We start from the raw sequence: 14,325 nt of genomic DNA on the forward strand, positions 1-14,325 counted from the left end.
AGAATCCAGATTCCAGGACTGCAGGGCCTGTTTCTGACAGTGTCTGTCTGAGCCCAGGGTCTCTGAGCAGGGGTGAGGGTCCCGGAGGGAGCAGACAGGCAGAGTGGAACAACAGGGCTGGTCCTGCGCAGCCTCCTGGGAAGGAAACACAGAATCTCTGAACCTACTCTTGCAGGCACCTTCCTTGCACTTTGAGATTGTGGTCTCACTAAATCTTACCAACAACCCAATAAAGTGTCTATCATTTCTGCCATTCTACAGTTGTGGAAATTGACACTTAAAGAGGCTAAGAAATTCGGAGTCATCGGGACTTGAACTAAGGACTCTGAATGATGAGTCCTGCTCAGGATCCCTGATGGGCTGCTCAGGGCGGGGGTGCCTATCCCCACCCCACCATTCATGCCAGCCAAGCTGCCAAGGACCCAGCCCCTCTCTGACAGCCAACAGGCTGCAGGGTTCTCTGTTTTCAGGAGATCTAGCTAGAGAGCATTTTCCTGACACAGTGTAAACGTTTGCCAGAAACAGGCTTCTCATCTTCCCCAACCCCAGCTTAATCCACGCTCCAGTGCTTAGGAGCTCAGACTGCGACAGCATCAGCCCAGGAGTGGCCACGTGCCAGCAGGCGTGCAGCTTAAAACACAGGTCTGGCGTGAGTCTCCTGTGACAAAGCTCTCCTGGGCCCTGGCTACTGACTTTAACCTGGCTTTGAATGCCCTGGCTTTAGACTTCTAATCTCCAGAACTATGAGAGAATAAATTCCTGTTGTTTTAAGCCACCCACTTTATTACAGAACCCTAGGAAATTGAAACACCCACTAAAGACACGTCCTGCCAGACTTTCCTCATTTCCTTAACAGCATTACCAGGGAAGCAAGTAATGGTCAAGCCTTCCTGCAAGGGTGCACCTCCCTCAGCCAGAACCTCCTCAGATCAGGGGCCTCCTCAGGTAAGCCCATGACCAGGTGGAATAGCCTGGCTGGGGATGCATCTCTACCAGACCAAGTGGACTCTGTCTCAAAGACATGGAATCTTCTCCAAAGACCTCCAGCACATATCAGGAAAGAGGCTGGGGTCTCACGAGAATGCAGAGCAGGATCATCTGAACGTTGATCTGGTTTGCTTTCCCTTATTTCCTCTGAGTCCTCTAACCGAGATCAGACTTAAGTCAACACCAGAAATCAACAGACCATCAGTGCCAGGTCATGGATGAAGCAAAACAATCGCATGGAACTGGTGGGACCTTGTATAAACAATTCAGGTTTCATGGAGGAAACTAAGACCCAGAAAAGGGAGGCATTAGTTGCCCAAATATACTCCATGAGGTGGAAGCAGAAATGGGCTCAGGGTTCCCACTACGTGAAGTTGGGATAAACATAAGGAGCGAAGGTCAAACTCTATCGCTTGATTAAGGAGTCAGCCATCAGGACTGTGCAGCTTGGAAAACTCTATGGGGTACCATTCACATTGTAGTCTACCCCTAGAATTGTATAGAACACACCCTTTGCCCTATACCGGGCAGCCGTGACAGTAGCGTGAAGTGCCACGTCTAGGGATTGCAAAAATGTCACTGGGGTAAGTCGCCAACATGGCACCGGTAACTCAGGTTTCCAGGGGCAATTATGCAATAGATAAAACTCACAAAAAGTGAGTTCGTCTCACTTCTGTGCAAGATAGTGCCCTTGAGTAAAAGTAGAACTAAATACAAAAATCTAACTTCTCACTGGCTCCAGTTTCCTACCTCTGTTGAGTATTTTTGCGTTGCAAATGAAGTTGTGCCATGCAGCTACAGACCATGCAACTGCAAACCAAACTTGCATGATGCCAGCTGCTGGCTAAAATTCTGAAAACAGGAAAGCAGGATACAGCGCTATTTGCAGGGAACAAACATTTCACGATATGTCAATGTACACTACCATTATCTTTAGCTAACAGGAGTGGCTAATGCTATCCAATTATGAGCAATAGAAAAATGTGCAGTAAACTACAATCCCAAACAAGTTCAAATGTTATGCTCAGTGCATATGATAGCCTATAGAACATTTTTTAAAGGTGTACAGATCCTATTACTAGAAAATCCATTTTTCTATCTTCAACAAATAAATGTTGAAAATGTTGAACAAATATCTCAAGAATATTAGATAGAAGAGGTGCCATAACATTAGTCTGCCCAGGAGGCCCATGGGTCTCAGTGAGGCTCCCATGCCAGGCCTTGGGTCTTTCCTAGACAGTCTCAGGACACGGGACACTGGACACTGGATGGCCCTATGAGGTTTCTCAGTCTAGCTGTCTTTATGCTGTTTTAAGGAACTCCAGGGTGTCACAGAGGTGCCTCCAGATCCTTGCAGGTAGAAGAGTCTCTGAGTCTCATTCCTGTTTAACAGGAAGATTGCCATTTAATGTTTCAGTATTGGAGTTTTATGTTATATTCATTTTTAAATGGTTATGGTGGGTTTTTTATATGCAATAATTATTGCTCTAAGGTAGTACCCGCATTTTTAAAAGCATAAACCCTACAATTAGAGAGCTTGGATTCAACTTTTGTCTCAGCCACTTATTGGCTGTGTGACCTTGGGGAAATTACTCAATGTCTTAAATTACCTAATTTCTCTGGGTCCTGCCTATGGAAGAAGCCTCCTTCAGAGCTGTCAGGGAACTCAGCTGGAAGGGCCCTGTCCCCACACAGCTCTGGACCCAACACTGTGCCTCAGTTTCCTCATCTGAAAAATAGGGATAAAAATATCTCCCTCCTAGGGTTGTTGTGAGGATCAGATGAGTTGTACTTTAAAGACACACAGAACGCTGTGTGGCACACGCTGAGCACTCGGTAACTGTCAGCTTCTGTGGCTATCAGTTTGCATCCCTACTATATGGAAGGGGAATTGGGGACCCAGAGAAGCAAAGCAATGGCATCTGAGGTTGCTGGGATTACAGCCCAGTTCCTTTGACTCTGAGCAAGGTACTCTCATGCCACATGGCTGGCACTCATTACCATCTAGCCACCAAGAGGATGCTCCAACATACCTGGTGATCACAGCTGGTCCGTGTACATCCACTGAGTTGACATTTCCCCAGCTTGAAGCAGAAGCTGATTATTTGTCAAACTCAACTGAAGAACGAATTCAGCTGCGAGTGTTTTTGAGGTATTAGAAATGTCCCCAAAGTGGAACTGTATGATGGAAACTGAAGGCAGTGAGGCAGGGGTGGATGGGCACGCATCTCTGCCGCCTGCCTTCACCAGTGTCAGTCAGGGCCAACCTTCCTGGATAAGCTCCCCACACACATATCCTCCTTCTGCCACAAGATGTTTAGAAAATACCATCGCCCCTGGATTCTCAGATCCCCATTTCTTTTTTACATTGTAATGTTTTTGAAATGGTGATTGATGGTGAATCTTATGATCAAGGTGTACTCTTAATGTGGTAGGGTTTTTTTCTCCCCCTCTGAAAAATGATGATTAAATCAATGACAGGTCTTGCAATAGAGAAAAGGCAATACCTTGTAATAGATGCAATGGGATCCTTGATTTTCTCTAGAAAAAGACAAGTGAGGAAAAAAATGGCTAAAGTCCTACTGCTGAATGCTTGCAAATGCCTTAGTGTGTGTGCTTCACATTTGTGCAAGGTATCAGGCAGGGTGAGGCTGGGCTCTGCGGAGGGCACAGCGCTTGTCCCTGCAGGTGGAGCCTGGGTGTGCCCAAGGCCTGAGGCAAGCTGCACAGGAATAGCCCTGCTTCATGCTTGGAGTCAGGCAGCATTTCCACCCTTCTTTAGAAGCATCAGGGATGGAAAGTCCAGCCCAGGCTCAGAGTTTCCTGGCTGGGAGCCCCTGCAGCCAGAGGGCTGGGATAAAGCTCCCCTCTTCTGACGCACTGCTGGATTTCCACAGCTTCCCTGGCCAGGAAAGCACTTTGCAGGTGGGGGAAAGTGGCAACCCTTCCTGCCTCTTCATCTTGGGTCTCAGAGAGTAAGAGCTTAGCTCAAGGGACTTTGTTTATAGAGAAAATAATATCTGCACTCCAGGAGGAGTGGTTACTGGAGTCCCCACTTACTGTCCTGATGCTCAAGGGCAGCACCACTTCTCACCTCTAGTCCAGAGTTTCTCCCCACCTTGCCAGAGAGGCTGCACAGCACAGGAGTGAGCACCATAGCCTGCCAGAGCTCCAGCCCCAACTCAACCACTTCAGAAACGGTGTTTCACCATGCCTCTGCTTCCTCATTTGGAAAATGGAGGTAATAAATAACAGCACCTCCTTCACAGGCTGTTAAGAGGGAAGTAGATTAGTTAATATACGTGAAATTCTAGGAATGTGGCCCAGCACCTATCAAGCTGTATTTAAGTGCCAGTATGGAGATTTGCTGTTTGCCTGGCAAACTACTATCCACTCTTTGAAAATTCAATCCAATAGTCACCTCCAAGAAGCCTCTTCCGACCACCCCCTCCACTGTCACATTCTCCTCTAGCCACCTCTCTTCCCCAGGTAAATATGTGGGAGTGAGCTTGGGGGAAAGGGGAGAAGGGTGCCTAGTCTCTCCATCTACTGTTTCCATCACACCCCAACTGTCTGCTTCTTTCTCTTGTTAGACAGGGAGCTTTCTAATAGCAGGGCTGAGTCTTGGTCATCTCTGTTTCCCCAGTGCTTAGAAGAGGACCTGACACCATCTACAATCTCATGAGTGTTTAAGGCATGGAGAGGGATGGGATAGGATGGGATAGAATAGAATGGGATATGATGGGATGGGATGGGATAGGACAGAATAAAATGGGATAGGATGGGATAGGATGGGATGGGATGGAATAGAATGAGACATGATGGGATGGGATGCGATGGGATGGGATGAGATAGAATAGAATGGGATATGATGGGATGGAATGGAATAGAATGAGATATGATGAGATAGGATGGAATGGAATGGGGTATGATGGGATGGGATGGGATAGGATGGAACAGAATGGGATATGATGGGATAGGATGGAATAGAATGAGATATGATCAGGTGGAATAGAATGAGATATGATGGGATGGGGTGAAATAGAATGATATGATGGGATGGTGTGGAACAGAATGGGATATGATGGGATGGATGGGATGGAATAGAATGAGATACAATGTGATGGGATAGAATAGAATGGGATATGATGGGATGCGATGGAACAGAATGAGATATGATGGGATGGTGTGGAATAGAATGGGATATGATGGAATGGGATAGGATAGGATGGGATGGGATGGGATAGGATGGGATGGAATAGAATGGGATATGATGGGCGGGATGGAATGGAATAGAATAAGATACAATGGGATGGGATGGGATAGAATAGAATGGGATATGATGGGATGTATGGGATGGGATAGAATGAGATATGATGGGATGGGTGAGATAGAATAGAATGGAATATGAAGGGATGGGATGGAATAGAATGAGATATGATGGGATGGGATGGAATAAAATGAGATATGATGGGATAGGTTGGGATTCAATAGAACAGGATATGATAGGATGGGGTGGGATGAGATGGGAGGTGATGGAATGAAACAGAGTAGTTGTGACAAAATCTCTTCAAATCACAATAGAGACACTTGCTCAAAGCAGATTCAGAAAGACAAAAATATCCTTAATGTGGAAGGCAATTCACCCATTGGTGCCCAATGTCTGTAAGGCTGGGAACGTGCAGATCTCCTTGGTGACATCAGACCAGTGTAAGCTCTCTGAGTCCTGCCTATGGAAGAAGCCTCCTTCAGAGCTGTCAAGGAGTTCAGCTGGAAGGGCGCTGTCCCCACACAGCTCTAGACACAGCCCCTCTGGCTACAGGCATCATGGCAGGTGTGGTTGTGCAGGATAAGGAGGGCAGCTGACCACACAGGGTACTGACCCCAGCCCAGCAGTCATGGGTAGCTCTGTATGCCTGCCTGCCTTACCAGGGCTGAAACAGTCCATTTTCTTGGGCCCTCAGACCCCACTGGGCCTCCAGGGAGCAGAATTACTGAGATTCCTGCCAGACCCTTTTTGAGGAATCGCTCTTCTAGCCCTCTTTCTGGGAGAAAGGTGTTGTTTGGCAGAATTGCCACAACTCTGCCACTGGGGAGTGGCAAAGCCTACTGCTTGGCTGCCCCAGGGTCTTGTCCTGCAGAGGCCCCTTGGTTCACACTTCTGCCATGGAAAACTCATTTTATTTAACCTTTTCTTTCTTTGATGGCATTTTAACGAAAAAGTCACTTAAGACCTGCAGTGAAAACTATATTTTACTAGAACAATGAATAACCCAAATACCATTTGCCTTTTCTTATCAATTCTTGGTTCATTAATCATCTTTATTAAAAATCCATGAGAAACAGCAGCAGCAGAAACTGCGAGGCGCCTTTTTCAGGGAGCTGAGAAGGGAGGGGAGGGAAAAGGGAAATAAACTCCCTCTGAGCCTAGCCACCTTCTCTTAATAGAAATCCAGGAGGCCTTTCCCTACCTTCCACTCGCAACGCCACCCAGGCAAATCCATATTCCAGAACAGAAAACCAACACTTCTCCAAATGAAGCACTGTGCTGTAGGGAAAGGAAGGGATGTGAAATCATATAATTTTGGATTCAAATGCTGAATTACCATGTATAAGCCAGGTGACCTGGGGAAGTCACTTAAGCATTGTGACACTCAGTTTCCCAGTCTGCAAAATGGGTATAATAATGCCTGCTTCAAAGGATTGTGGTAAGGATTGAGTGAGAAAGCAAATGTGAAAATGCCTAGCAGAGTCAGCTAAAAAACAGATGTCAAGGAAAGGCTCGTTGACCTCATTAATTCATCCCAAAAGTATACAGCTGAGGAAACACTTTCTGGTCCAGCTTTAGTGCAGAACTGTGCCCAGCGATCTTCCCCAAAGTCTTGCAGGTGTCATGGGTGTGGTTTCCCAGGGAAACAGGTCCTGCTTCCAGAAATCCTGGGTTCCCAAGCAGTGAGGCAGGGAGTGGCCCATTGGGCAGAGCCAACAAGGGGCAGGCTGCCTACTTGGAAAGCAAAGACGAGAACCGGGCAGGGGAATTAATAGTAATGACCACCACACACCCTCCCATTTCACCTCACCACAGATCCACAGGAGAACAGGTATTATTACCTCTGCACCCTGACCAAGTAGCAGTGGCTCACAGGGGTGAAGGGACCTGCCCACTGTCACACAGCGAGTGAATGCAGGGCAGGGCTCTAGCCAGGCCTTCCGAGCACTCCATAAACCACACTCCTAACCCTTTCTCTTTACTAAAGGTGTGGGATTGCTCCCTGCATTAGTTTGCTAGTGCTGTCCTAACTAAGTAGCACAGACTGGGTGCCTTCAACAACAGATATTCATTCTCTCACAGTTCTGGGAGCTAGACGTCCGCAATCAAGGTGCCAGCAAGATTGGTTCCTTCTGTGGGCTGTGAGGAAGGATCTGTTCCAGGCTCTCTCTTTGGCTTCTGGCTGGCTGTCTTCTTGTGTCTCTTCACTTCATATGCCCCTAGTGTGTGTCTGTCTGCGTGTCCATGTTTCCCCTTTAGATGTGCACACCCGTCATATTGGATTGGGGCCCACCCCAATGACCTCATTTTCACTTGATTTGTTCTATAAAGTTTCTATCTCCAAATAAGGTTACATTCTGAGGTATTAGGGGTGAGGACTCCAAAATATTGTTTTAGGGGAGACATGATTCAACCCATAATACTCCCCTAGACCCTGGACCTTCAAGTACACAGAACTGGGGCTTCAGGAGTTGTCCTAGCAACACCCACCACCATCACCATCAAACCTGCCTCCTACCCCAGCAACCCCATGGCACAGCACAATTTCAAGGCCCCACATGGACGTCTGCAAATAGCAAAGCAAGTCAGCAGAGGAGCAAACAAAGTATTACATATTATGAAATTCCGTAGGGAGAAAGGCTCAACCACGCATTAAGTTCCTCCAAACACAAAGTGCTCTGCCTTCAATCCCCATTTTAATGATGCTAACTCAAGGCTGAGAGAGGCTATTTAACCCAGGTCACGTGGAGGAAAGTGGCAAAAAAGACTTGAACTGGGGTCTGCCTAGCTCGAGGCCTGGGCTTTCCCTTCCCATCACCCTGCCTCAGGCTTCATTCAGCACCCCCACAGCCCTCAAGTTCACAGATCGGAAGAGACTCCCAGGAACTACATGCTTCCAACATGTGCTCTTTCTCTCCGTGCCTTCTACAATTTGCCAACTTGGTCCTGACGTTTTGTGCTTCATGGCTTCCCTATATACTTCCACCCCCACCCTGCAAACAAGACTCCTCCAGCCCAGGAGGTGACCCCCCACCACACCCCACAGAGTGCCCTCAAACAGTGGAGGAGCAGCTGCTTGCAGTGGGCCCAGCTGCCTGGCGCAGTCCAAATGTGTCCTCCCCAAGCCATAATGTGGCTGTTCACCTTGCACCTCCCCGGATCAAGAGACTTGGCTCTTCCTGGCTTTGTTCTCATAGGGCAATTTCAGCTCCATCTGCAGTCTTTTCTTTCCGGAAGCTTTGCTCCAGTCATCTAAGTAAGGCTTGTTGGTAGAGGAACAGCCGAGATCTGGACAGACAGGGTCTGCTGCCTTTAACTGCATTACTCTGAAGGTGGCTTCTGGATGCCTTCCAGCTGGGAGTCTCACCATGAAGGGCCCCACAAGTAGTTTCCAACTTGTGAGTTTGAACACTTAAGCTGAAAAAGGATTTAAATGCTCACATTTAACTGACATTCACAGTGTCTTCTAGGTGCAAACAGAGGGCTGTATCATCTCATCTGACTATCACTCCATCCTCATGTCACAAGTGAGGAAACTAAGGCTCAAAGCCTAAGGCTAGCTTGTGGTTGCTGGTGGGGGCCCCACAGCCGGCAAGTGGGATTCAAACCCAGGCTTCCCAACGCCAAGTCTAACACTCTCTCCTCCCAGCCCTGCCTCCCTAGCACCACACTTTTGTGGAAACTATTCTGAGAAATCAAAGCAGCTCTTTTCTATCCAGAACTATAAATATCCAGAGAGAGGGAGACGAGATGAGAAAACAGATATCCTTTCCCAGGATTTGGGAGCAAATTTTTGCAAAGCTCCCCAAAGCATTTTGAGTTCTGAAAGCAAGAAACTGTTGATAGAGGAAAAAATGCAGAGAGAAGGATATAAAGAGCTATGCTGATCTGACATGATGGCTTGCTCCAACGCCCTAAAAACCAGCAACGATCAACTAGATGCTGATTACTAGTGAGGCACCATGCTAAATGAATGTCAGCTTGTTTAACTCTTACAAGAGCCCAGTGAGTTACGTACTGATCTTAACCCCATTTTACAGTTGAAGGAACTTGAGCATAGAGAGGTAGAACAACTTTCCCAAGGCCAGAGAGTTTATAAGCTTCCACGCTAGAACGTGTGACTGCAAGTCCCGGGTCCATAACCACTGTGCTATACTGCCTTCACCTGAAGGCTCATCTTAAGAGATATGCACCTGACTCTCTGTCAAGCCTCCCCTTCAGGTCCTAGAATGACAGGCACATACATCCCTGGGAGTCTACATTCTGCTGGCAACTCCAGCTGAGAACCCAAATCCCCGGAAGGATTCCAGGCAAGTGCTCACTCAGAAGAGCAGAACTAGAATGCACATAAAATAGCTCCATCACATGAGACCCCCCTGGGTCTTCTCATCCATGCCTCCCTTCTTTTCTTCCCCACGGCCCTATGCATTTTATCTGCCTTATTTGAGGGCTGAAAGAGTCATTTGCCTCAAAGGCAAACCTGAAAACTGTCAGAGCTCATCAGCACGGTGGCAATGCAGGCAGCCCCCAATTCCAGAACAAATTGGTAGCTAATGATGTTGGTTGGAATTTAATACCAACTTATCTATGAAAACCCTGCTAACCCAAGAAGTATCCAGCCAGTCAACCCACACAGCACATTTGCCTAGACTATCCCTGGTCAACCTTTACTCTAGGTTGTGCTGTTGGTAGGCACTAGCCACACATGGCTATTTAAATTAAATATGTTAATTACAATTAAATAAGTCAAACTAGCTACATTTCAAGTGTTCATAAGTGGCCTGTGTCTGCTCGATACCATAGTGAACAGAATAGGTCTAGAACATCTCCCTCCCCACAGAATGCTTGCTCTATTGGACAGCCCTGATCTAGACCCTAACCCCAAACTCCAGCACTGCAGAAGATAATATATTCCTTCACAGGTTAAACTCGGGGTGCCAGGGATACACCACTGCTCCCAAGGGAAATTAGTGAACACTGCAAGTGACTGGAAAGGGGCTGTGGAACCACCAGCTCCCAGTATGTACACTGGTTCTGACACTTCCTAACCATAAGACCATCACTGTTTGCCTCCACTGCCTCATCTGGAGCATGGGGACAGTGCCCTGTTCCCAGAGGTCTATAAGGGTCAAGTGAGATGATGCTCAGCACACTCAGTGCTCCTTCTGTCGCCTGCTAATGCTACCTGCCACATAGGGGTGGCTGGGATCCCCAACTCTAAGCAATCACCAAATGATTACCACAGTCTGGAAAAGAGTGGTGAAGGGCTGGAACAGGACTGGCGGTGGCAGAGGAGCAGTGGTGGGAAGGGTTCTGGTATGCCTGTGGCTTCAGTAGTCCACCCTGCTTTCTTCCATCTCTCATTTTGGTTCCTGCATTAGATTGATCTAAGGCCTCTAAGCATGAGGGTAAGTGCCCCAAATGCAAGCACTGGGAAAGGAAGGAGCAGAAGAAAAAGGAGGCTGGAAATTCCACAAGATGGTCCTAAGAATAGGAGAGGAGCCCCTGCACCATGGAGGAATCCATTCATTCATTCAGTAAACAATGGCTGAGCATTTTAGGACCTTATATTAGGCACCAAGGAGACACAGATGAATAAAACATGGACCCTGCCCTCAAGGCCTCCACAAACTAGTGGGTGAGACTAACAGAAAATAGATCAATGCACTTGTGTGGTCAGTGCTACAACATCAGAAAATCCAGTCGGTCTTGGGAGCTTAGACAACCAGATGGTGGGTAAAGGGGTCTTGAGAACAGGAAGTTAAAAAGGTTTTGGAGGTTTCCAAGAGATGGTGCTTGCACTAAATCTTTAAGACAGTGTAGAGAAGTGTTTTGAGCAAAGGAAACCGCAGGAACAAAGAACAAGGATATGGCACCTAAATACTCATGTCACTAGGTAGTTCCATAGAGCTGGGACCTTACAGGGAATTGATGAGAGATATGGATGGAGCATGCAGAACATAGGAAACCTGTTGTCATTTGTATGTAAAGAATGTTCATAAGTTAGGGATCACATATATTTTTTTAAATTAAAAACATATGCAAAGCATGAGCCTTGATTAGATACTGGATTACACAAACGTTAATGCACAGGTTGGGAAACTTTTTCTTAAAGAGTCAAATAGTAAAATATTTTAGACTTTGAGGAATATACAGCCTTTCTCCCAAATATTCAACTCTGCAGCTGTAGTGCAGAAGCAACCAGAGACAATATGTAAATCAATGAGTGGGACTGTGCTCCAATAAAACTTTATTTATGAAAACAAGCAGTGAGCAGGATTTGGCCCAAGTAGCCAAGCCTCACTATGAAGAACATCCTTGGGACCAGCAGGCAACTCTGACTGAGGATTGTAAGTAACACTATTGTATTGACATTAATTCCCCTGAGTGTGATAAATACATTGTGGTTCTGCAGGAGAATATCTCTGCTCTTGGGAGATGTCTTTCTTGAGAGGTGTCTTCGATCTGCAGAAGTGCTTAGAGGGCTTAATGGCTGTAACTAATTCTCAAATGGTTCAGGGAGATAACAAGTATATATAGAAAGAAAGATAAGAGAAATATGGCAAAATGTTAACAATGGTGAGTCTAGGTGAAGGATATACAGATGTTCCTTGCATTATTCTTGCAACTTTTTTGTAAACTTGAAATCTTTTGAAATAAAAAGTTTGGAAAAAATAGAAATTTGAGAAAATTCAGAGGAACAAAAGGTCCTGATGAACAGACCACTTTGAACCCCTTCCATTCTTCAGACCCCTCTGAAGTGACCTAGCACCGGCTTGTTTTTCTGCAGAGTGGATGTGAGTACATTTTGATTACGTGTTCCACCTTCCGTGATTAGTTGTGCACTACCAGAGAAGGTCATTTGAATGGGAAAATGAGTGCAGCTTCCTGGATCCTGCTTAGGCCTCTTTTTGCCTGAATTCCTGCTCTCCTTACCCAACAGCCTGGAGGACAGCTTCCTTTTGACATTCGGGCCTCAGAAGCTATGGAAGAACAAGCAGCCAGCCAGTATGGAATTTCCTGCAGGAGGTAGACTCAAGAGCAGCCAGGAGCAAAAGCAAGTCCTTAAGTGGCATTTGTCTGATCAAAGGCCACCTGGAAGCCTATAGGTGATTTATGTGAAGGTTTCTGCTGAGCCAGGAGCTGCTGACAAAGGTTAGCAGCAACACTTTTCCTAGTAACCTAGATCCAAATCTCTAATGATCCCATAGAGTGGGATTTCCTGATTCTTGACTTATTAGAAATCAATACCATCAAAAATACTAACACCTCCATTAAAGAAGGCATCCATTGATTTCCACTGGGAAGGTGGAGGCATTTGGAGGCTCGGTATCTTAAGGAGATTCAGTTTTGATTTTTCATCTGTCAAAGTAATACCATAATGTACAAAACATACAATTTCTGGCAAGTGGTGAGGGGAGGGTAGTAGGAATGACCATTCCAGCTCTCCTACCCTCCTGCTTCCCTGAAAAGCATAGTCTTAAAGCATTGTTCGTCAGCGGTGCTTCTTGGGCCCCTCTGGGCCCCAAACCCAGCCAGCCCCACCAGGAGATGCCCATCACTGCCTCTGCAAGCCAGCTCAGGTGCATATCCTCTTATGGAGGAGAAAAATGCAAACAGAAGTTACCCACAAGGGATACATGGCATTGTTTGGGAATCAAGGATCTGACTTTCTCAATGTCTCCAAGACTTAGGATCCAGAATTCTTAAAAAGTCTTTCTGTCTCCAAAGACTATGTCCTAGGGAGATAAACATCCTATATACCTAGGGAGATAAACATCCTATATATCTTCCACCAATCACCCCAAAACACCCATTCTGGTACAATGCATTCGTTAACAGTTACCACCCTCACCCTGTCTTTAAGAGAACTATATAACCCATCTCCCTTGCCTTGTGACTCACAAAGGCCTGGCCCCACTGCCAGGCATTGCCACGTGACTGATTTTGGCCAACAGAGTGTGAGCAGACATGAAGGATGCCAGGTCTGAACAGAAGTTGTAAATGTGACTATACAATTTGGCTCAGCCTCTTGCTGTTCTCAACCACAATAAAACAGGCAGATCACAAAACGAGAAAGTATGTGGAGCAGAACCACAGCCAACGCACAGCCCAGGTGACATAAGGAAGAAAGAAACTGTTGCTTTGTAAGCCACTGAGAGTTGAGGTTGTTTGTTATGCAGCCAGACTTCGCGACAACTGACTAATTACCCTTCAATACAGGAGTAGCAGGTAGCTCTGGGGAGTTGGCCAGCTCTTTGCACCTATGTCCTGTGGCTCCTATCACCCACCTAACAAAGCCCAGGCCTAGTTCCAATTTCACCATAACTCATTTTCCATCCATTTATACCCTAGGCTCCTTAAGAAGTGAATCTTCCCGGCAACACCCTTAGTTCATGACTCATCCTGCCAGTGACTCTGGTTAAGGGGGGAAAAAGGTAGGTTTAATGTTTCAGCAACGCCACTGGAGATCTCAGAGTAAAAATCACCCCCTTTTCCTCTCCTGGGGAGGCTCCACACCAAGAGCCAATGGAGACTCACTGTCTAAGATAGAGAGCAAGATGTACAGGAGAGGGCACTGGACTAGGAGTCTGGAGTTCTGGATTTGGATTCAGGCTAAGTCACTGGGCCATGTGACCCCCTTAAAACCACGGAGTCTCTAAGGGCCTGGGTGACCTAGTACAAGTCATTCCCTCTGTCTAAACTGATCAGTGGTTTTCAAACCCAGCATTGGTTTCCTTGGAGATGTCTTAGCCGATAGCTGAGATGAGAAGAAGCCTGTGGCCAATATAACCTCATCCCCTGCTTCTGCCAGATGGGCTCTGTTTTGATCTACTGTACAAATTCGGTTTCTAGGTAAGATGTTGCTTAGCCAAGAATCCCATAGCTAAATGCATTTCAAAATCACTGATCAGGTGATCTCTGAGGGCCTTTCCAGATCTGACACATGCTGATCCTCCCTGATGCCTGACTTCTTGTATATTCTGTGGCCACCCACTTCCTTGCCATTGTAGTCAAGGATTTACTAACACCCAGAGGGCACCCAGTAGTGAATGACTGACAAGCAA

At 46.6% G+C, this 14,325-nt stretch overlaps 1 protein-coding gene across 6 annotated transcripts in view, besides 1 other annotated feature; it reads right to left on the reverse strand.

The window, feature by feature from the left end:
• Positions 1–14,325, reverse strand: part of GALNT18 (polypeptide N-acetylgalactosaminyltransferase 18) — a 351,129-nt gene that overhangs the window by 283,947 nt on the left and 52,857 nt on the right. The window lies entirely within an intron of this gene.
• Positions 13,179–13,228: an enhancer, noted in NCBI's record as "active region_4454". NCBI's record gives its function as "activates an Ori minimal core promoter by ATAC-STARR-seq in GM12878 lymphoblastoid cells {active_cell/tissue: GM12878}" and the evidence as "EXISTENCE:reporter gene assay evidence [ECO:0000049][PMID:35858748]".

The sequence above is a fragment of the Homo sapiens genome, chromosome 11 (assembly GCF_000001405.40).
Source record: "Homo sapiens chromosome 11, GRCh38.p14 Primary Assembly".
NCBI classification, from domain to species: Eukaryota; Metazoa; Chordata; class Mammalia; order Primates; family Hominidae; genus Homo; species Homo sapiens.